General features: G+C 39.7%; 1 protein-coding gene across 6 annotated transcripts in view; it reads right to left on the bottom strand.

The window, feature by feature from the left end:
* Positions 920–24,253, bottom strand: part of NHS (NHS actin remodeling regulator) — a 360,795-nt gene continuing 337,461 nt past the window's right edge. For 3 of the 6 annotated variants that reach the window (NM_001291867.2, NM_001136024.4, NM_001440780.1), the window contains exons 4-9: positions 17,508–17,570; positions 15,281–15,473; positions 12,484–12,615; positions 8,586–11,567; positions 8,139–8,265; positions 920–5,056 (exon numbers count right to left, since the gene is read on the bottom strand). In NM_001291867.2, coding sequence (NP_001278796.1) covers positions 4,450–5,056; positions 8,139–8,265; positions 8,586–11,567; positions 12,484–12,615; positions 15,281–15,473; positions 17,508–17,570 — 4,104 coding nt within the window. In that variant the 3' untranslated portion in view covers positions 920–4,449. Of the gene's footprint in view, positions 5,057–8,138; positions 8,266–8,585; positions 11,568–12,483; positions 12,616–15,280; positions 15,474–16,690; positions 16,821–17,507; positions 17,571–24,253 lie in introns of those variants that run through there. The other 3 variants (NM_198270.4, NM_001291868.2, XM_011545528.3) reach the window with 2 other exon arrangements.

The raw sequence follows: 24,253 nt of genomic DNA, 5'->3' as shown, positions 1-24,253 counted from the left end.
AGGAGAGGGGCGGGGCCTTAGCAGTTGCCCTGAGCCAGGTCTGGTAGGAAGGGCGAGGGGGGCCAGGGTGGGGGGCGGGCAAGATATTTCCAGTCTCCAGCACCCACAAGTTGGACTGGGGAACTAACGCAGACCTTGAAGGCAGATTTACTGGATTGGACCCCCAGCTCCAACACAGTCCTCCTATGGCCTTAGGCAAGCCAAGTAACCGCTTTGTGCTTCGGTTTCCCCATCTGTAAAATGGGTATAATATGGGGACTACATGAGTTAATGTATGCAAAGCACTTAGAACAGTACCTGGCATAGAATTTTGCTATTGTAATAAAGGCTATGTGACATCATCTAGTGGCATATAGTCTTACATACTTATATCGAGGCTGCTCATCTTGGGAAGGAGACACAGTCTGAGTAATTATCAGAAGCAAAGCAGGCAGATATTTCAAAGTAAAGCTATACATCTTTTCTTGGCCCAGAGAGGAGCTACAAAGAAAGTATACTGGACGTTGGAAATGTATCATTTTTCCTCTCAAATACGAAGCTAGATTAAAGCCCATTATAGATATAGTATATGTTTTTTTTTTGTTTTTGTTTTTGTTTGAGACGGAGTTTTGCTCTTGTTGCCCAGGCTGGAGTGTAGCGGTGTGATCTCGGCTCACTGCAACCTCTGCCTCCTGGGTTCAAGCGATTCTCCTGCCTCAGCCTCCAGAGTAGCTGGGATTACAGGCGTCTGCCACCATGCCCAGCTAATTTTTGTATTTTTAGTAGAGACGGGTTTCACCATGTTGGACAGGCTGGTCTATGTTCTTTTTGCTCCTACTTTTGCCATAACAGACCCTGCCCTTATGTCCTGTTGCCTGTAAAACACTGTTGCGAAGCCCCAAGAAATCAATTACGTAACAGTGAAGAGAGAAACCGGTTGTTTAATTGCAGTCACGTTTATTTGCAGTTTCTATACACACTTTCTAGGTAATCAAACTTTTCTGATACATTTTTTTTGAGAGGGGTTCACAATGAAACTGTCACCATTTTTACTAAAAATAAATACAAGACTTAAAGTGTTGCACAGCTCTAAAATATACAAAGGCTTGGATTGAATGTAAACGTTGAAAACATCTTACAAAAGAAACCATCTTTGCAGCAATTTAAAAAGTTCATATTTACAAATATTACAAAAATACAAAATGGATGCAAGTCCATAAACCATTGTCGTTTCGGCCAGCATGAACTGGTTCTAGTACCAAAATAGTTACACTGTAACCTTCTTCATAGTTTTAAATCTTTATTACCATCTAGTTCTCTACGTGCCACCACTGCAGCAAATGCACTCACTCACTGACCTTTGGCAAGAGCAAACAGCATGTTCTGTTTGCTACAACTAGTCCATGTCCTCTACTTAGCCAAAAACAAATCAAAACAACAACAAAACCAAAGTAGAATTTTTAAAAAATGAAAAAATTTCCCCTACACAACATAGATACGTTGTATAAACATAAAAGAACAAAAAATCGCATCAGTGCAAACAACAGAAGAAAAGTTCGGATTGATGTTCTTCACAATACCTAACGTGTGTACCCTGCTTCAAGACGGCAGTGATGTTAAAGACAGCCCTAAATCTTGGTCTTGTTTGCTATGTAATCAAGCCATGTAGAATATTCCAGATTATTAGGGAACTTCCTGCTTTTTCTTCTCAGTTTGTAACTCAATACTCTTTTCCACAGTGAATTTTAAATCCATCTTTATTTGGGTTTTTTAAATCTATGAAATATAAAATAGAGAAACTCTGCTATAGATTTTTAGAGTAAACAAAATAAGTAAAACTATATTATAAGGGTTAGTTCTGTGATCATTACATATAGAAGGTATCTTATTGCCTCACAATTCAAGTCAATATGTATTTTAAAAAATATATGGTACCATTACTTAATGTCAATAATAAAAAGGTGACATTTTTATTAAAGCCAATTCATGTGTTTTCTATTCAAGATTTAGAATCACTTTTAAAGCCCACATACCTTTCTTCACACTTAAAAAACCCCTAACTACACAAAAGCCATACTGCAAACGAACTGCTTTTATGAAATTACGAAAGATCGCCTACTGTGACTGGAAATGACGGTTTCTTATCGCATTTGCCTAAAAACTTTATTTTTAAAACTTTGCAAGGTGTACTTTTCAAATCATGAGACAGATTTATTCATGTTCCCATGTGGTGTCAAACCATGCTGGTTTTCTTAATTAATGGGTTCCAATGAGAAATGGTGGTCCATTTTATTCAAACCCCAAAATATTTTTCTTTTAAGAAAAAGTGTGACATTTTGTAAATGTTCAAACCCTTTACCAGGTAGCTTATCTATCCCCAGTGTGTGTGCGTACACACACACTCACACTCACACACACCCATACACACTCTCTCTGACTCTCCCTCCTCTTATACCCCTCCACCCCCAGCACCCATTTTACATACAAGGATGACAAGAAATTTAGTAACACAGTTTGGTAGTGAAAACAAATAGTAGAAGAAGCCAGACATTTTTTTTCTTTCCAAACAAACAAAACAACAGCAATCAGATTATCTATTCTTAATCTGTAGCAGTTTAGAAATCATTTCTATTGAAAGACAGTATCTTCTTAGACCAGGCTTCCTCCTTCATTTTGCATGAATTAATCCAAAATGCAAACCCTCTTCCACACCTCCTACTTTCCCAACTACCACTTGCATAAGCTTAAAGCCAGCAGCTTGTCAATTTCTTGGTAACATTGGTATGTTCTATCACTCTAATCACATTCTAGTCTTTTATAAGTCAGATCCCTTCTTAATTCTCTCTCTGTTCTACCTCTCCCATTCAAAACCTATTCTAAGTACATAGCTGCTTATATTTCTGACATAAGATTCCAAACATTAGTATAAGTTCATGTTAAAATCAGAGGTGTAAAAACCATTTGCAGATTTTAACGTGTAACTACATTTTTTTTTCAGTTTTAAGACAAGAAAATTCAAGTAATTTCAAGTAATTCAGCTTGTTTCCCTGCCTTTATTTTATCAGAGCACATGCCCTGACATTTCCTCTCCCACCCTCCACCCTCCCCTTTTGCCATCAAGCAGACACTATAGTAAAACCAGACAAAAACTCAGTTGTATGTAGTATTGTGAACCAGAGCTGTTCCCCATTCCCAGTTTAACAATGAGTATAAATAATGCATATACACATACCTATTTTCCAACTACATTGTTCACAGTGTCATTTCTGTTAATTTTTAGGTAGCATGAATCTCATCAGCACAGAGAGAAAGCTTCACTGAAAACTCATTACAGGTACTTACTGATTAATCAATAGCTCTGTGGCATGCTTAGGTTTTATTTTTGTTAGTTTAAGAACCTGGAGCTAATTTCTAAACTGTTTAAGGAGTTTAATGATTACAGTCATTAGTTATGACCGTTTATGTCCCCAGTAGCCTAATATAAAACATAACCTAAAATTAACTACTATTTTCCCTACTCATTCTCTTTAAAGCAATCCATTGAAAAAATTAAAATCTAAAGGACACTGTCAAATGCTGTTGTTCAGGGCTTTGTGTTGAGAATGATGACTTCTCTCACTGATTAAAAAAAAAATCAAAAGCATGCTTTTCATTCTGTCCAAATTACCACACAACAAATCACAGCCATGGGTTGCTATTAGTTTGTTTGGTGCTGCAATTTGTCATAAAAATGATTAGATCTGAATTCATTATTTTAATTTATTCATATTTCAGTATATGACCTCAAGATTTCCTTTAGTTCACCAGTTTAAAATTCATATTTGAGGTTTACCACTCAGAAATCATATTGGTGGACATTTAAATATGGCATTTGATATGAAAATGGTATTCACAGAATACAGTTATTACATTTTATTTTTGTGTATTCTATAAACAGTTGGTGTGCAGTAGATAATTGACCACATGTCCACTCATCATTGATAAATCTATTTACACATTTTTATCAAAAATATGGTATTTACATATGTGTAGTTCTTTCTTCTAAATTTTGCTTTAGTTTGTTTTAATGTAAAAAAATACCAAACATCCAGAGTAATTTCATCTTCTTAAAGAATAATGACAGTGAGGGCTTTAGTTTCTGAATAGGCAGCTCTGGGAAAACGTTTTCTAGGTGTCATGAAAATTAGACAATTTTGTATCCTCTATTTTCACAAGGAAGGAGATTGCGTAAATCAAACTATGCTAAAGAAAAACATGAAAGACTGCAGCTACTTAAAATATGGAAACTAATCAAGAATGTCTAAACCACTTTCTGTTTACCCAGCACATACTGTATTTAGAAATTCATTCATTGCTTAGCAGTGATGCTACCCCATCAAGTTGAGACTTTTCCCAAGTCCTCTGTTCTGTTCCTCCATCCTCATGTGAGTAAGGGTTTTGGCCTTTGCCAGGCAGCCTGGTACAGGCAGTCTATGTTGAACTCTGGGAGGAACGGTCGTCATGTGGGCTCCCGTCAGAATTTTCCGTCTCTCCCTCGGAGATTGCCTGCATGGGCGTATTGTACAGCCGGCAGCGGACACTGTAGCGGCTGCTGCTGGCTGCAGGAGGGGCCCGAGAACGTCCAACCCTTGCTGATGCTGAGGTGGCAAAGCTCTTCGAGGAAAAGCCTTCTGCATTAACTCGTGGGGAGCATGGAGAGAGTGGGGACAATGCCTCAGCCCCTTGTGACCCCTGATGGGCATCATCGGTGCTCTGAGGGGACTCTGCTGTGAGCTCCCCAGGAGGTTTGGGCAGTATGGGGCTCTTCAGGATCTCAGTGGCAGACATGCGGTAACTAGAATCTGAGCGACTGCCTTTCTTGAGCAGTAACAGCTTAAACTCTTCATTGGATGTGTTGGACTTTTTGGCATTTCGGTATATGAGACCAGGAGACCTCTGGCTGTTGGGGGTTGTCACATTACTGCTGGGTGAAGTGATGGAACTGGCGCTGCTGCTGCTACTGCTGAGGGGAGCTCTCGATTTGCTTCGAACAGACATGTCCCCGGAATCTTTTCTTCCAAGTACTTTCCTCTTGGATCTTTGAGAAAAGGAGAAAATGGGGCAAACATCTCACTCAGTTCACGTTTTTATGAAACTGAAGTATTCAGTCGCATTCACACATCTGTCTAAAGTGCATTTTGAGCCTGTCCTATATGATGGGATACTAAGCATTAGGGCTATAGAGATGAAAAGTAAGATATGTTCCTTGTCCTTGTAGCACCCACAGTCTGAGAGAAATTCTCTGATAACCAGGACACAAATTAGGTTCTAGAGATGATCATTTCAGATAATGGCTAATGTGGAGGCTAGAGGTTCTAGAGGATACTTTGTAAAAGTTTAAGAAACTATACTGCTAACAGCCAGGCGCAGTGGCTCACACCTGTAATCCCAGCACTTTGGTAGGCCGAGATAGGCAGATCACTTGAGGTCAGGAGTTCGAGACCATCCTGGCCAACATGGTGAAACCCCGTCTCTACTAAAAATACAAAAATTAGCCGGGCATGATGGAGCATGCCTGTAGTCCCAGCTACTCAGGAAGCTGAGGCAGGAGAATCACTTGAACCCGGGAGGCGGAGGTTGCAGTGAGCTGAGATCACGCCATTGCACTCCAGCAGCCTGGGCGACAGAGCAAGACTCTGCCTCAAAAAAAAAAAAAAAAAAAAAAAAAAAAGGAAGAAACTATACTGCTAACTAAACTATACTTCTGGTTCCAGGGGGTGAAAGACTATAACTTTTTCTTATTAACTCTGTCTCTGCAATACAGATGAAATGATCTGATGTCTGGGATTGGCTTCCAAATAATACCAGAGAAAGCAAGTGGATGGAGGTGTGGGTGGGACAGGATTGGCCCTAGTTTGACAGTTGATAATCCTGGATGATGGATATGTCAGCAGACATTATACTATTCTACCTTTTAAAATCCCTCCATATAAAAACATAATTAAATGACGTTTTAAGTCAATTCATCTTGGGCTGCAAGTATCATTTCCTATAGCTTCCTAAGAGCATCAAGAGCATATTAAGCAGTAAGCCAGCTCTCTGTGGGGAATTGAAATCCCAGACCATCTCTGGAGCTCTTAAAGCTTTGTATACTGTAAGCTCGCAAGAAAACAAAATAATTCTTTTTGCTGTGATGTAAATAAACAAGTAAATAGATAAATAAGTAAACCCTGCACAAATGCAAGTCTAAGATTACCAAACTCAATACATCTATTGAACCTTGACTCCCATCATCATATTATTGATTTTCTTTGGTAAATCAGCAGGCATAAATTTGGTGGATCTTCAGTATGACTCAGTTCATTGATAGGCAGCATGCACTTTCATCAACTTAAAGATTCATATGGTAGAGAAAATGTGAACTTCACAAGTGTAGATATGCTTGATTTTGGTTCACAGAAACCTCTGTGGTTGATATCTTGTATATGGCAGTGTCTGGCACTCCACTAAGTTAGGGCTTTCAAACTAACAATGGCTTTTAGCACCTACCATATTCTAAACACAAAAAATGTTATCATCAAAATCAAATACGTGAGCTATAGGCATTCCCATGTGCAATAAGGGAGTAGGTCCAGAGGTTTTAACTTACTCAAGACTGCATAGGAAGTGGCAGAGTTGGGATTCAAATCCAGGTCTTTCTGACCCCACTATTTACGTCCTGTCCACTATTCCATACACTAGCATTTGGTCCTTTGGGAGTAACTTTTTAACTTACATAGCAGTTTAGTAATTTTTCCTGGGATTGAAGATAAACTGTGGGGGTGAGGGAAATATAATCAGAGCTTAGACTAGGCACAGGGGTGAAGGAAAAGAAACTAATGGTTCTTCACCCTCTGAGTAGAGAAGTATGCCTGCTAAGGTATACATAGAAGGTGTTTCTGATTGGCTCCTTTTAAAACAATTGTTGAACAGCAGTACTCCTTCTTTATGAGAGAACCACATCAACAGAAAACAGAAATTCCTATAAAAAGTAGAATTCCAGGAGAAAAAGATTGTAAGCTGCTTACGATGAATTTGTTTCAAAAATGATAACTTTATGAGGTAGAAAAGACAATCCCCAAGTTGTATCTCTTGGGAGTTCCATCTAGGTTCCCGAGGTCTAAGAAGACAGTTGTGTTTGTGAAAGGAGGAGGCATGGCAAATCATGATTGGCTAGCTCAGTTATATGTAGATTAGGTGTCCAAGGGCTAGTTCCTGTTCTGTTCTTTGGTCATTAGCTATAAGGAATAATTTTTGCAAATATGGACCATGGATCACAAGGGCTCATGGGGGCAGATGAGGAAATATGCCTTTGCAGCATGGACACAACACTGTCCTGGAAAAGCAACCCAAAAGACCTGTATTCATGGAATATGGGCATTAATTTTGGGGATGAAGGCCAGTACTATTAAAGAAATTTAAGTTCTAAGAAGAAAGAAAAACAGAGAAATTATTACTTGTTCTGAGCTATAAAATGGACAGGAACACGTATTGTCTTTTCTCAAACTTGAGACTGTTTTGTGATCAACTTTGTGTGTGTGTGTGTTCTCTAAGTTTTATTTTATTTTAAGCTGACAAATAATTGTATATAGTTATAGGGTACAATGTGAGTTTTTTATTTTTTATTTCAATAAGTTTTGGGGGAAGAGGTGGTATTTGGTTACATGAATAAGTTCTTTAGTGGTGATTTCTGAGATTTTGGTGCATCCATGGTGAATCAACTTCTGTTTGTCTCTGCTGGTGTATGACTACAGCTTTGATCATATTTTTTAGGTTCAAGAAAGTATTCAAAAGTCAGAGATTACACTAGAGTTTGAGCTTTCACTCCAAGTCACTTAACCACAGATTGTTTTCACATAAAAACTTGTTCCAGAATGTCTTTTCCTGGGGAAAAATAAAGCCACTCTTACAAAAGTCTCTCAATCGAGGTCTATCAAACTCTATATAAAGATCCTATTTCCCAACTTGCATATCAGTCTATCAACTTGATTTGGAAAAATTATTCTTTGCTTGCTTTTGTTTTTGCTGAATGTATTACAATTACAAAAAGCTTTCCTGTATTTGCATTTGTGAGAAGTACCTGAAGGGGCAAAACCTTTGTTGTACCTTTTGTTTTGGGGGACTTGGTAATGTTGCCTCACCTGTGAATGACTGCAAATAAATCCTCAGTTGTTCGAGGTTTGTTTGGAGACACGAACACACCCTCTGCTTCAGCTTGGGAGTCTTCACTAAGTGGTGAAATGATGGAGTCATCACTCGGTGATGATTCTTAAAATAAGAACAGAAGAATCTTTAAGAGGAAGTTACCCAGCACGCTACTGTACTTCACTGACTCAGGGAACAAACAAACAAACAAACAAACAAACAGAAATTACCTTGCTGCCATTTTTTAAAAATGAGAGAGATACCTGTCAAAGCTTACTCACCCAGTAACAAAAGCTTTTATCTCAATTGTTTTAATAAGTGCAAAGAAATAGTGGAGGGAAACCAACACCCAGGGCTGTACCGTATTATTGGGAACATAAGAAAAAATTCCAGGAAGTGCCATGAGACACATTTCCTTTATGACAAAGTTATCAGTGACTGACCTTTCAATGAAGCCTCATCCACATTTCCTTGGGTCTCCTCTGCTTTGCTGTTATCAGAGGCACTTTTGGCTGAAATACCTGAAGCAATATTTTCCTGCTTGGAACATTTTTCAGGGAATGAATTTACAGATGTTATCTCCGATTCATAGCTGATAGTACCAGGCACTTTGTCATGGTGGCGGCTCATAACAAATTGATGCTTAAATTGATTGCTTACATCTGTTGCTCTAGTTGGTGAGTCTGACTGAGATGTGATTACATCCACAGATTCAGGTTGTGCAACTTCCTCCAGACCTGCAGAGGGTGCCTTCTGTACCTGTTCTAGAGTTTCGTCTGGACCAGGTCCATATTGTATTATTTTACCATCCAAATCATTTGGGCGGGCAGCAGAGACCCTCTGAAATCCTTCTGTGGGAAAAGCACAGTTTTTGGTTGGCGTGTTTTCTGGAATAGGCTCAGTCTCTGTACGCACTTGGTCTTTTGTGACATTTGAATCTAGAAGACTGCTACCAGCTGATGTTATGGTTTCTGGATCGCAGCGATTCTTCACATCAAAAGTAGAGTTTTTTTCTAAATGTAGTTTATCTGGTCCCATCTCAACTGCAGAAGAGTCTAAAAAGGACAGTATGGTGTCTTCAGTGGAGTATTGACGAGATACTGATTTATTTGCTGTATGCGGCCTAATCTTACTTGGAGACAAGGCAGCCGTTGTGAGTGTGCTTTCCTCTAAATAAGGGAGATCTGTATTGTTTTCTTCTTTTTGCTTAACTTCTTCAGACTTGTTGATGGACCTAAGGTTAACAGATTTCAGGATCGTTGGTGTAATTGCAAGGGACGGTGGAGGATTCGACCTCAGTGTTTCTCCTACTGTGTTCTGCTTATTATGAGTAAAAACATGCAGTGGATGACGGTGGTGGAATGGTTTGTTCAAGACATTATGAAGAGCACTTAGATCAAGATGGGTAGGAGGTATAATTGGAAGTTCAAGGTCTTTACTCAGTGATATAGTTCCATCTTTTAAAGAGGGTTGCTGTAGTGAGGATTTTCTTTCTGGGACTTTAGGTTTTCTTTTGCTACCTCCGGGAGACAATGGACCTGAAAAGAAAGCTGTAGGGAAAGAGGATGTTGGCGTTTCAGACTGGCTTGAATAGCCACTTGATGGAGATGCCAAGCCAGCCAGCTTTTCTGGTGAAGCCAGTTTAAACTCATTGTCAACAGAAGGAAGAGATGGGGTGGTGGCTCTTGATTCTGATTGTGATGTTTGGGATTCAGAGCTCTCTGGAGATTTGATGCATTCAATGACTGTGGTACCCGTAGCGGTGCTTGAATTAGATAGAGATCTATAAGGATCATTTGTTTTCAAGTCATTTAGGAGCCAGAGGTCTGCATAGTGTGTGGATTCGGCAACTTCATCTTTGAATGGTGGAATATCCGAAGCATCTAACTGAGGTTCCTTAATGCCTTGTTCACTCTGGTTTATCCAAGAAGGTTCCTGCTTGGTGGGAAGATTGGCGTTTTCCATTCGAGAAGGCGTGTTGGCGAAATCAAGAGGCAGCTTCATTTCCCTGGAACTGTGAGGCAGGTGCTGACCACTGCTTATCTTTGGTTCTTTCTTCTCAGAAATATCTGCGTTTCCATCAGACTTCCTCAATGATGAGCTACGTTTAGGTGGGGTCGGCTTTGCCTTTGGTTTCCTGAAAGAGATGCTTGGTCTTCCCTGCCTCTTGTGGTCTAAGTAGTCCTGCCAGGCACAATCTGGAAGACCAGGGGAAGCCCCTACACCCTGGCCATTCTCTGGGCCCAGGGCTGCATAGTGACAGACATAGCTCTTATTACCTTTGAGACCACAGTCAAAGTGCATGGAGGTATAGTATCCTTCCGTGTCTACTGAAAAGTGAGAGCTAGTGTCCGCTTTGTCTGATGGAGACTTTTCCAGAAAGCTGTCATAAGTGGCCATGCTTGTGAAGCTTGGGCAGCCCAGGCTGTCTGCCTTGGGACGCTCAGGACTAAAATCCTGGCGGCAGGAGGCATCATGGTGGTGGTGTAGGTAATTCCACTCACTGTCACTTGTGTTGCTGTTGTTGGGATCATCCAGCAGGTCTGCAACAGTGGAGGTAAAGGAGTTTGCCCGATGGCCTCTCACTTTATCCAAGTGGTCATTGTATTGCTCTGTCACGAAAACACTGGCATCCTCATTGGCATGAGGGGCTGTGTTTAGTGACAACTCCGAGTCACAGTGTGAAGAGCCAGTGAGTGGAGGAGAAGCTGCAGGAGGGATGGTTTCTGAGGTCTGCGAGGGGCACGTGGAGCTGCTCCCACTCCAGTTGCCACTGGATGACTGGTGGTCATCTTTCTGGTCCATGTGGCTGCTAAGGAGGACGCCAGCCGTGGAGATGCAGTGGATGGGGCTCCCAAACGTGTCTGAGTTGGAGGAGATGTCACAGCTGCCAGAGTCAGCAGCCATTCGGGACAGACGTGACCTTCCCCTCTCACTTAATTTGTGCTGGGGGCTGTGAAGATGTTGAGAGCAGGCCAGGCCCAAAGTAGGCTGGTGGTCCTGGGCACTCGGGCTGCTTGGAGCCTCACTGAAATCATTAGGGGTTCTTTCATGGTCACCCACAAAAGACTCTCCCTCTTCATATGCTGAGGGTTTAGCGCCAACTTTGGGCTCAGCATCCCCACCTCTATTACCTTCCCGGGGAAGGCTCCGAGATCTTGTGCGGCTGCTCACTGCAGGAGTAAACATGGTGTCACCTTTGTCTGCTAGGGCAGAAATGTTGCCAGCAGAATGAGAAAGGGAAGCTGCAATGCTTTGACCCCTTTGAGCTCTGATTCTCCTTCTGGATGGGGCAGCAATCAGAATATCCTCGGTTTGGCACTCAGAGTCCCTGGTTCCGGATATCCTATTGACAGTGTTGGAGGGGTCTGGGTTTGTGTGCACAATCACATTCCTTTCCCTGGCCACTGGTGATTCATCAGAATCTAGGGCACATGGAAAGCACAGTGAGATATTTTCTATATCAGCAGACCAACAGACATTCTGAGCTATGTCTGTAGATCTGTGGGCTGGCAGGTTAGAGCTGTTTTTTTTTTTCTTTAACAGAAAAAAAATCAATATATAGAATTAGGTGAGAGTTAAAATGCTTTAGGGTGTATATACACGTCCCCCTCATATATGTATATATACATACCAAGAGAAGATATGCTTTTATGTCTTTTGTGAATTATCCCTCTCTTCACTATCACGTTAATTTGCCACAATAAGTGACTACTTTTAAAAACTAAAGTACATTTTATCTTTTTGGCCACTACTCTTCATTTTTATTTTGTAATATAAACATGATGAAATAAAAATCATAGGTCTCATTATTAGAAATAAAAATCTTATTTGCAAGAGATGATACCCTAATAATTTTTTAAAAATCATAGGCAGAGATATTTTAAATCCACTAAACAGAAACATTGTCACCAAAGGTATCATATTATCAATATTCAATATTTCATTGCATATGCCTGGAATTTACCTTTTAAAATAATTAATGACATGAAAGTATATCTCTCTTAAATTAAGTTACAATTTTCCAAAAAGAAAACTTTCATTGACTCCTGCTACTTTTTATTCACAATTTCTACCTTAATAAAACTTTCAAAAATCAGCTAAGTATTACATTTCAGCCGTAAGACCTGAATGTATATGCCTAAATCTATAAGGTCAAATCTTCACAGTCAAGAATAAAGAGTTAAAAAGTAATACCACCTGGCTTGCTGAATACAAAACAAATAGACACCATTTTAAAACCTCTACAAGTTAAAATGTTTAATCATTTTTCTATTTCATCTCCCTATCATCTGTACTAGGCGGAGGAATGTTAACCATTAACATTTTTTGATATCACACCTATTTCTTGTTGAACTCTTCTGGGGATACCCGAGATGGTTTTCCTCCTCCTCAATTTTCGTCTCCGCTGTAGTACCGATTGTGAATGAACCAGAGAGCAGCGTATACTAGCCTCTCTGTCAAAGCCAACTCCTGCAACCCACAAATAGGTCTCATTAGCTTTAGAAATGGCAAACAAATTTTCATTTACTTGGAACACAGTGATATTTTTGACGGGAAGTAAGGAAAGAGTTTGGGTTAAGCCTGTGAACAAATATAAGGGAGCTGTTATTCAGCTCTTATTTAAATTATGCTGCAGTACATTAAGCTTTACTTCTAAATGCAGCTCTCCACAACAGTTTGCACTGCCAACAAAAACAAGCAAAGAAGAAAAATCAAAAGAAAGAGAAGAGAAAAAGACATCCAAAAAATCCCTCTCACATAGAAATGGCTCCTTAAGGATTTATAACCTTTAGTTACTACTATTTACTGATCTATTTCTGGGCTCTCTGAAGCTGATACCTTTGCATAGTAAATCAGCAGCCAGGATGATAACCTGAATTAGCTCAGCTAACATATCCTGACCCATTTCTTCATTAAAAGCCGTCTTTGTGAGGTTTTGTTCCCTCCATCTCTTATGGTCCAAACCTTCTTGCATTCCCCATGCGCGCACGCGCGCGCACACACACACACACACACACACACACACACACACACACACACACCTCTTTTGCTGTGAGGAAACTCAACAGTCTAAGGATTTGTTTTTTTAAATCATCACCCAACTCTGTCTACTTTCTTCTATTTACTAAACTGAATGCTTTCTGGTTTAGCATGAGATGTCTTTTCAATATAAAATAAACATACAAGGCAGTCCCCAGTTCTGCACTTAAATGGATCCACCTTCTATACCAACTGTAAAGCTGGAATTGCCAGTCTTTATCCCATAGGTTTGTTTTTGTAAACACAGAGGGCAAACCATGGTGCTTGTTAGTTTCTCTCTCCATAATCACATTATCAACATTACATGCAGTCCCATCACAACTAGAATGATGAGAGGGGAGGTGAGGAACTCAAACTCTTGTCTGCACCATGGATTTTTCAAAGTGAGCTTTGCCTCAGAAAGTCACAATGCCGTGCTTTGGAATTTGGTCACCTCATCATTTATCCTGATTGTTAAGCATGGGGCTGGGTGGTGTGTCAAGTCTTGGTTCAGCTGTATAATGAAAGAGTTGAGTTCTGTTTAACGTCACAGTGCCAACAGTTTCTAGAACTCACTTTGAAAAATCTGTATGAGATATCATATGATGAATAATTACAATATTATTGGAGAATTCTTACTAATGGAATTTTTCTTAGTTCCAACCCAAAATTAAAATCCTTCATTCTGATCTTAGTAATTATAGAATGCATTATATATAGACGCAGACATTTTGTGTTATGTGGACATCATTAACAATGTTCTCATTAAAGCTCTTGAAATCAACATCTGATCTAAGTTTTAATCAGAGAGTTCCTGAAATAAAGCAGAAGGAAAAAGTGTCCCTTTCCCTCAATCATAAAATAATGGCCCATAATCATAGCACTAAATTTGAAAATGAGATTTTACTTACAGTGCCATGAAAAAAGCACGTGCTGCTAATAATCAGAGGTTTCCAGAAATGAAAATTAGCTTAAGAGGGTGCCAAAATGATCCATTTTGGCAGCTGAACTCCCCTAATACATCCCATTTAGATTGTGGAGATCAGATAGGGGCACATCTTTAGAATAATTTATCTTACAAGTTGAATAGGTCATCAGGAAAATTAACTCCCAACTCACCACAGACCCATGAACTAGGACTCCTTTTTTCTCAGGAAAAAAATAATATCTGTCCCAGATATCTGGTCCATTTGCTTCCCCACTTTATTTGAGAGAAATCTGAGTGGGGTTAATGATAGCTGTGTGCAACATGCATCTCAAGTGACATGCAATCTTTAGTCACATGGTACCAATATGAAAATCAGTCATAACATGGCTGTTTTGAAATTTTCAATATACAAATAAGTTAAAATGTAACTATTAGAGATGTAAGAAAGCCCAATGGATAGACCATTTATGTCTTTGAAAGTTAGAATATTTTATAACATTATTTTACTTACGACTAAGATTACTAGATCCAATTGTGGAATTTATAACTGCTGCCAATAAATTTTTCAGAAAGGTCTGGCTATGCTTCCATTCTATCTAGACTAATATTCACACTCTCAGTACACAGGAGGAGAAAAAAAGAGAGTGAAAGGAAGACAGCCTTGCTGGTTTTAAAATAGAATTCAGCCTTCATCTCTGTATCCATATATTTTTAGGTCAAAAATCCCCCAAATCAATACAGAAGTCTTAACAGTCTTTTTTAAAAAGCCTACCTTCATCCAAGGAAGCATGAAAACAGATTTTCTAGTTGGCCTACAGGACCATTACTTGCAGTTTGAGAAGCCTGGGTTTGCTGTTTTCTTTCTTGCAGTGCCACACATCATTATCATATGATTAATCACTGCCGCTTTCTCCATTATTTCAGTCAGCTATGGCCAAAGAGCTATTTGGTGATTTTTTTCAAAAAGAAACTGTCCATAATTTACATAACAAGTGGCCCGCGGAAAACATGTAAATTGATGTTCAAAACCTGACAAAAGCATATCGAACATCCTCTGGGTTTGTATTTTGATGACAAAAAGGCATTACTTGTTTACAAAATGGTATTCTTAGCAGCACAGATTTTGAACATATTTAATACACAGAATATTCTGACCCGACTGCCCCTAAGAAAAAACCAGAACGATACCAGTAACATTGATGGGAATAATGCAAGAAGAAATCACTTGGGCATCTTGTTTCATCTTCTCCTCTGGCGTCGGGAGAGGTAGTGCTTTGCTCCAGTTGGTCTGCTTGTCCAGTGTGGAAGGGATATTGTGTATTGGGTTTTTCGGCCTCTGCCCTAACATGACATCTGTATCTTCATCCTCTGGGGGATGGGACTGCAAACAAAGTACAATCAGGTTCAGCCATCATAGTTTATACATAAGCACACATATAAGGAATTTCCTAGTTTAGAGAAGAAAAAATGAGGTCAGAAATAGGCCCTTAGGACAAAGGAAGAATTCCTAGAAATAGTTAGTAAGCACAACTAATTACAAGTATTATTTCAATAGTCAAGCAACACAAAAGGAAAGAAATGGGCTAAATAAACATGCTTCTCAGGTTAAATGGAATTAACAGGAGAGACAAGGTAGCCAGAAATCCCCAAACTTTACACCAAAGAAAATTGAGTCTTTACTCCAATGAAAGACAGATCCACTTTCAAGCTATCTCACCATAAATTTCTATCAAAAGTTTTGAGATCTCTAGATGACTAGGATCAAAGGAAGAAGATGAGTTAGACACCTATGAAAAGGTTCAGAAAACCTGGAGTCAGGAGACATTCCAGAACCCATCACCTGAAGGACAAGCCAACCTAATCTGAGAAGCCACATTAAAACATGAGGAGTTAATTTCACTCCAGGACTACGGCATTTTTTAATAACATTTTAAAAATTCAGTTTCATGAACACTTGTATGCACATGGAAAAGCAAAAGTGAAGAATTTCCCCCTACCAACGATAGCGGAAAATACACATGCTGTTACTGGGGGGAAATATTCCAGTGAGTTTATTTTTCAAATTAGGAAAGGTGAAAGAGTCCTAGTTTACTTTCTTTTCAGCTTTGTGGTGCGAGACTTTTCCTCCAGCTGTATAGTTAGGGGCTTTGATTTCTACATGACATTGGAAAATTCTCCATCCAAACTTTTGATAAATATCAATATTGTCTAACTTTTATTTCAGGGTTGGGCTCCTAGCCCAGATTATTTAAAAAGCTCCATCCCAGTTTTGATTTCAGGGTTGGGTTTCTAAACTAGATGATTAAAAGACTCAGTTTTCACCACTCAACCTAGTTTTATTTATTTTTTACACAATTTGGAGGAAGGTGGGTATCTGTATAAAATAAATATCTTTTGCTGTTATCCCAGTAAGACTTTAATAATATTCTGCCCTAAAATTAGGATCATCAAAAAAAATTTTCCCATCTTTACATTTGGAAATATCATGCCCTGTTGACTCAGAGGATTTCACCTATTGTCAAATGAACTGTTCTCAAGTCCCCTTAAAGAGCTGATTCCAATGCCACTTGTCTAAACTCACCCCCAGCATTTACTTACCTTGTCAGAGGTTTCTGCAAATCCCCCCAACACACCCAACAGGATATGACTCCCCCCTTGGGAAAAATATGTTCGTCATGAACGTTTTAGTAAAATATTGCAACCTTCTTTCTCTCTTCAGCTTTTGTGCAGATTCCCAGCGAAGCGAATAGCTCAAATAAAGTTCGAGAACAAAAGACTTTGTTTCCTAGGTAACTTCCAAAAAGAAAAAAAGTTTGGTGCATACAGAGAGAGAGAGAGAGAGAAACTGATTGAGAGAGAGAGAGAGAAAGAGGGAGACAAAGAGAGAGAATGAGCAATAAAGAGAAACCCCCCACCACCAGAGGCTTCATTTTGTAGGCGATTCCTTCCTTGAATAACAATGGACTGCAAAGTGTCGACAGGATAGTGACCTGACTACAAGCTCTGACCAGCAGCCAAAAGCACTTTTTATTTAATGGTGACAGGACGATTGGCTGCCAGAGAATCCTTTTGTCTTGTTCTCCTTTTTGATTTGAGAAGCTGAACATTTACAGTTCTGATAAATTAAATATAGGAAAAGGTTCCTCTGCCAGACTACAAAGTCCAAGAGTAGTGTTAGGTGATGCAGTTTGCAGAGTGGGGGGCAGTGAATGGGGGAAAAAGGCAAATGGCATGACTGTCTAAGTTATATTCTATTTAATTCAAGTTAGGAAAATACCACTTTTTAAATTGATTTTAAAGAAAAACCGTTAGTTAGAAACAAGAAAGTTTTCCATAAAGTTAAAAGAGGGAAAAAAGGAAGAGTGTCTGGACAGAGTGGGATAGGGCCGTGAAGGAATGTTCTCAGAACCAATACCTTTCTACTCCACGGGGTCATGTGGCAACATTCAGTGGGGGAGGGCGAACGGGTGCTGTTAAACTATGAACATGAAATGCAAAAAAAGAAAAAATTAAAAACGTGCACACAACACAGTGTATACTGGTTAGGCCAAATCTATGATATTAATAAAATAATATACTGGGATAACTTCCTTCCTTCCTTCCTTCCCTCCTTCCTCCTTCATTCCTTCTTTCCCTTCCTCCTTCCTTCTCATTATTCCTTCCTTCTCCTTATTATTCCTTCCTTTCTTCTCCTTATTTCTTCCTTCTTTCCTTCCTTCCCTCTTTCCTTTTCTTCCCTCCTTCCTTCCTCCCTTCTTCCTTCCCTTCCTTCCTTCCCTCCCTCCTTCTTTCCTTTTTTCTTCCTTCCTTTCTTCTTCCATTCCTTCTTCCTTCCCTCCATCCTTTCTTCCTTCCCTCCTTCCTTCCCTCCTTCTTCCTTCCTTCCTCTTTCCTTCCTTTCTTCCTTCCTTTCCTCTTCCTTCTTTCCTTCCTTACTTCCTCCTTCCTTCTTTCCTACCTTCCTTTCTTCCTTCCCTCCTTCCTTTCTTCTTTCCCTTCCTACCTTCCCTCCTTCCCCCTTCCTTCCTTCTTTCCCTCCTTCCTTCCTTCTTTCCTTTCTTCCTTCTTCCCTCCCTCTTTCCTTCCTTCTTCCTTCCCTCTCTCCCTCCTTGCCTCCCTCCCTTCCTTCTTCCTTTTTGCTTTCCTTCTTCCTTTCCTACTTCCCTTCCTTCCTTCTTCCTTCCTTTTTTCCTTCCCTCCTTCCTAATTTCTTCCTTCCTTCTTTCTTTCCTCCCTCCGTTTCTTCTTTCCCTCCTTCCTTCCTTTCTTCCTTCCCTCCTTCCTTTTTTCCTTCCCTCCCTTCCTTCCCTTCTTCCTTTTTCCTTCCCTCCCTTCCTTCCTTTCTTCCTTCTCTCCTTCTTTCCTTTCTTCCTTCTCTCCTTCCTTCCTTTCTTCCTTCTCTCCTTCCTTTTTCCTTCCCTTCCTTCCTTCTTCTTCCCTCTCTTCCTTTCTTCCTTTCCTCCCTCCCACCACCCTCCCTCCCTCCTTCCTTTCCTTCCTATCTTTATTTTTTCAGAGGTAGCATAAATAGTGGTTAAGAGCACAGACTCTGAAGCTAGACTGTCTGAATTCAAATCCTGCCTCCACCACTTATTTTCTGTGTGGCCAGGGGCAATTCCTCAACCTCCCCAAGGTCAGTTTCCTCATCTGTAGTAAGATAGAGAAATAATAGAATTTTCCCTCCAGGGCTGTTTTGAGGATTAAATGAGTAAAGTATATGTAATAGACTTAGAAGAATCGTGGCACTTAATAAATGCTGTACATTAGTGCCAGCTACTACTACAACAATTATTATTATTAATGTACTTACCTTGTAGCTGTGAAATATCTGTGAAAATGTCTTTGCAAACTGTAACTTTGTTATGTTTTAGATTCCAACACCACTTGCTAATTTGGAGAAGATTGAATTATTTGCTTTCGTTGGAGTGATTTTATTTATTTATTTATTTGTGAACTACTTGGAAGAAAATTCTCTATGTGTAATTTCCTTCTCTAGACTGCTCAAAATTTACTTCTTTCTCCTATTCATAGACCACATTTGGAGACAGGGCCAATTTCATGAGTGTGTGATCTGTGTAGCAGTCCCATAGGGCCCTGCACTCAGAAGGCCCCCATACTTGGTTTCAGGTTGTGCTGTCACTGTTTTGAAATTCTTGAATAAAGGATTCTTCATTTTCACTTTTCACTGGACCCCAGAAATTATATAGCCAGTCCTATCTGGAGAATAATCTGGTAACCAGAATCCCCTCTTCAGGATCTACTGAGAAGGCCACTGAAACTTTTAAAACTCTAAGCCATATCAGCTTTAGATTCAGCTGGGCCTCTATTATAGCACTTATCCTACAGCATGGCTTTAATGGAACAGGAATTGGCCCTGGATGTGTCTATTTCATTTGTTAGATTGCAAATTCCTGGAGGTCAGAGGCCACATTTGATTTGCCTTTCAGTCTTCCATGATGCATCACTGTAAGAACTCATCAAAATATTTGTGCACCTGAATGATATTGTCTCTGTGTGTTTTAGCAGTGATGGGAACCCCAAAGAAAGTAAGGGGCAGCCAGGCACAGTGGCCCATGCCTGTAATTCCAGCACTTTGGGAGCCCAAGGCAGGCGGATCACTTGAGGTCAGGAGTTCGAGACTAGCCTGGCCAATATGGTGGAACCTTATCTCTACTAAAAATACAAAATTAGCCAGGCGTGGTGGCGCATGCCTGTAATCCCAGCTACTCGGGAGGCTGAGGCAGGAGAATTGCTTGAACCTGGGAGGCAGAGGTTGCAGTGAGCCGAGATTGCACCACTGCACTCCAGCCTGGGTGACAGAGCAAGACTCTGTCTCGGAGGGAAAAAAAAAAAAAAAAAGAGTAAGGGGAATGCTCAAGATCTCAGGAGGAAGTAAATTCCTCAGAATCCAAGGGACTTACCATCTTCATGCAAACAGGTGGAAACAAGTAGAGGAAACTGCCAGTGATCCTTGCTTCCTCTGATGGAAGCAAGGATGGATGCTGGGCCTAGTTATTCTTAAGCCTATGGCAGACATGCGTTTTTGTGGGGAAAGCTTGGTGTCTAATTCTGTTCTATTTTTCTAAGTTTTAACTGAAAGAGTTGCTCATTAATGTTTAAGCAAAGCAAATGTCTCCTCCTCGGGCCCAGTTAATTTTGATCTAGATCTTATTTAAGACTAATGATTTTGTAGGGTCTATGGCTCCCTTGCTGAAAGTGACCATTTTGACAGATGTGATATATGTGGTCCGAGTTCAGACACTAACCTGGTTCTCTCCTAAAAATCAGCCACAGACAATGATGTGGAAGTCTCAAGTAAGAAACCAGGGTGTGTAAATGAGAGAGAAAACTCATGTTAAGTAGGAAAAAAGGTAGCCTGATAGCAAAGCCTACATGGGAAAGGAACCTACTTCAAAGAAACCAAAAGCTTTGGTGTCTCATGAAAGTATTTTCAAAAAATCACACCGTCAGAAACTGCAGAATGATATTAATGTTAATACATAAATTATGGTAGTTTGTCTTAAATCTCCTAAGTCAGCTCTCCTGTTGAATATTTTTTCCAGTAGTGAGGGGTGAGGAGTGGACTTCATTTTTCATCTGTTTGAGAAACCCACCCACCCCATTAAATAAGCATGAGGTCACACCTGACAATGACTAAGGATGGCAAGTTCAGAGAAAGCACAGACTTTTCAGTTGTGGTCATTGTGATGGAGAGTTAAGGTCTCCTTGGGTTACACTCCATAGCAGATTCCTCCTCAGCTAATTGGTCTCTCCACTATATTGATAGTAGCTCCAACCTCCAGCTTGTGAGGGTTGAAACTAGGTACTCTGGAGCTTGGATGTGGAGGGATTGTGTTCTTTGGTTCCTCCACTTAGACACAAGCTCTAGAGTCCCTGCAGATGGTCTGCAGATTCAGAGTATTTAAGTTTATAATATTAAAATGAGCTATAAGTATATAAATATACAGTTATATTTCTGCCATTAATTAGTAACTGCCTTAGTCTAGTATTTTAGAGGGCCCTCCGCATAGAGGGGAACAACACACACTGGGTTCTATGGGAGGGTAGAGGGGGGAAGAGGGAGAAGATTAGGAAAAATAACTAATGGGTACTAGACTTCATACCTGGGTGACAAAATAATCTGTACAACAAACCCCCATGACACAAGTTTACCCATATAACAAACCTGCACATGTAACCCTGAACTTAAAATAAAAGTTAAATAAAATTTGAAAACAACTAAAAGTAGAACTATCATTTGATCTAGCAATCCCACTACCAGGTATCTATCCAAAGGAAACGAAGTCATGTATGAAAAAGACACTTGCACATGCATGCTTATAGCAGCACAATTTGCAATTGCAAAAATATGGAACCAACCTAAATGCTCATCAACCAACGATTGGATAAAGAAAATGTGTTAAATATACACCATGGAATACTACTCAGCCATTAAACGGAATGAAATAATGTCCTTTGCAGCAACTTGGATGGAACTGGAGGCCATTATTCTAAGTGAAGTAACTCAGGAATGGAAAACCAAACACCATATGTTCTAATTTATAAGTGGGAGCTAAGCTATGAAGATGCAAAAACATACAGAGTGATATAATGGAGTTTGGGGACTTGGGGCAGGGGACTTTGGGAGCAAGGTCAGGGATGAAAGACTATATATTGGGTAACAGTGTACACTGCTTGGGTGAATGGGTGCACTAAAATTTCAGAATTCACCACTAAAGAACTCACTCATGTAATCAAAAACCACCTGTATCTAAAAACCATTGAAATATTTTTTTAAAAACCTTAAAAATAAAATAAAGCATCCTCTTTCCTGGATGTTTAGTCAAAAGAAGTAAGATTGTTCTGAGTATTTCTGATTACACTTTTATATAATGAATGCAATAATCAGTTCACAGTATATATTTTTTCTAAATTATCTAAGAAATACAACTGCAAGAGAACTGCTACCTCAGGGCATCTCTGCATGGCTCAGCCTGCCACGCCTTAATGGGTGCTGATGGATAAGGTTAGGGAAAGCTGGATGCTGATCAAACTTATATGAACTAAATTATTCTTCCACAACTGTTTAAATGAATCTCGTTGCTTATTCAGAGAAAGACTAACCATTTCTTGTTCATAACTCTATTTTTACTGCCTCAATAGCGCTCAATAAATATGTGTTGTACAGCTAACATGCTCACGTGCCTGGCATAAGCAAACAAAAATTCTCTTCTAGAGAAATAACATCAAATTATTGCCACCCACATATAATTTTTCAGTACAACATCCAGTACAAGGTCAAAGACAGCAAAGCACAGGAGGAGATAAGACAGCATGAGCAGGAAGCATCCAAAACAACAGATAATGGAAGCAGATCCACAGGGGACTCCTGATTGTGGAATCATCACTCAGTACAAGAGTGGCAGTGAACAACTTTGGTTTCCCCAGAATAAGTGTGGTAGGAGGTGTGTTAGGCATTCATTCATTCATTCAAGATCATTTATTTGATGTGGATCAAAATTGGCCCCAGTGGAAACAAACCGTCAGTTTAAAAATAATTTCTCCCTCATGGGTATATATATGCATATTCACTGTACAAGTCTTTCAACTTCTCTGTACCTTTGAGATTTTTCATAATATACTGTTGAAGAAAAATACAAAAAAAAAAAAAAGAGTAATTTCCTCCTCCTTTTCCAGACTCCTATTCTGGCCCTTCTACCACTGATTTTGAAAAGCTTCAGACTCCAACTTGCAGCATTTTATAATCAGCAACTACCAGCCATGCCCATCTTGTCCCTGACAAAAGATGATTCTTTTGATGCCTTCACTTCATCTCTGTCCCTGCTGGCCTCATCAGTCATATCCTCAAATCCTTTCCCTAGCTTCCCATGAGTTGCTTCAACAAAAGCCAGAATTATACTTATGACCAGTGTTCAGAATAAGAAATAACAAACATTATGCTCAAAAGCAGCCAAATAAATGTCTTTGGTATATAATGAAGGAAGATTTTTCAAACTCCAGTCTTTCTTGAGGTATGTGTGTGAGAAAAGTTAATTTCTCCCCTTTCGTGGCTATGAACAAGCACTTCCCCAAGGGTTTCAAGATGATCCCCAATCTTTCTCTTACTACCAAAAGAAAAAATAATCCCTCCACTCCATATTTTACTTTCTTTTGAGTTATATTTTATATGCTGATGGGGGCTTATTTTCTTTCGAAACAGCCCAAAATACATCTGTTAAAATGTTGTGGGTATTCCAGCAGGAAATGTTTTGAAAAATTGGCTTTGGTTTGTGATCTAACTGATACCACATGGCACTTATAGCAGTTGACTTTCAGAGCTGATTTATTGCTATCATGCTGTCTTAAACATGAAAAATATTTACTGGAGGCTGGATGCTGTGTTACATTTGAAAACAAGAATAAGACCTTACAGCAAAGATGTCCATTGCAAACCACACTGGGTTTCTAGTGAGGTGATATGGGCTTTTATTTTCACTCTACCATGGGGCTCGTTTGTCCTTAAACCAAATCCTTGCATTTGTGCACATACTGTGTCCTATTGGCCTCAGCTTTTCCTGTGCAGGAGTGTTTGTGGATGTATCATATATAAATATGAACTCCTTTGATCTTTCTCAAAGGCTTCAAGAAGCCTGACAATGCCTTCTTCACATGTCATTCTTGTTGCTACAATTATGTAGTACTTTTTTATTCCCTTGAGACTGTCTCAAAATCTCCCAAAGGTTGGCATTGTGCTCTTGTCTTCCCAACATGTTTAGTAACATCATTCTACATTCACCCTGTGCTTCCCTCTTCCCCTCTCCTCAACTCCGACATTCATCAAGGTGAACAATCATGGGTAAACACAATGAAGAGGTAGGCAGAAGTTTAAGGCACATCCTATGCTTTCTCTGTTTTAAGGCTTCTTCCCTTTCTGGGTTTGACCTTTGTCACCACTCTCTCCTCAGCAGTCAGAGCCTTCATGCTTACCCAAAGTACCTGAATGCAGCACTCCCACCTGGCATGCCATCCTTAACCCCAAGTGCCTAAACCCTTCACGCTAACCTTTCAGCCAGCTTCAAGGTTAGAAAGAAGCCCAAAATGCACCCTTATTAGGGTGCTGACAACAAATCATGAAAAACCCAATCCACAGTGATTTATTCC

This window comes from Homo sapiens, chromosome X (genome assembly GCF_000001405.40).
Source record: "Homo sapiens chromosome X, GRCh38.p14 Primary Assembly".
Classification (NCBI taxonomy): Eukaryota; Metazoa; Chordata; class Mammalia; order Primates; family Hominidae; genus Homo; species Homo sapiens.
This window is presented reverse-complemented; position numbering and strand designations above follow the sequence as displayed.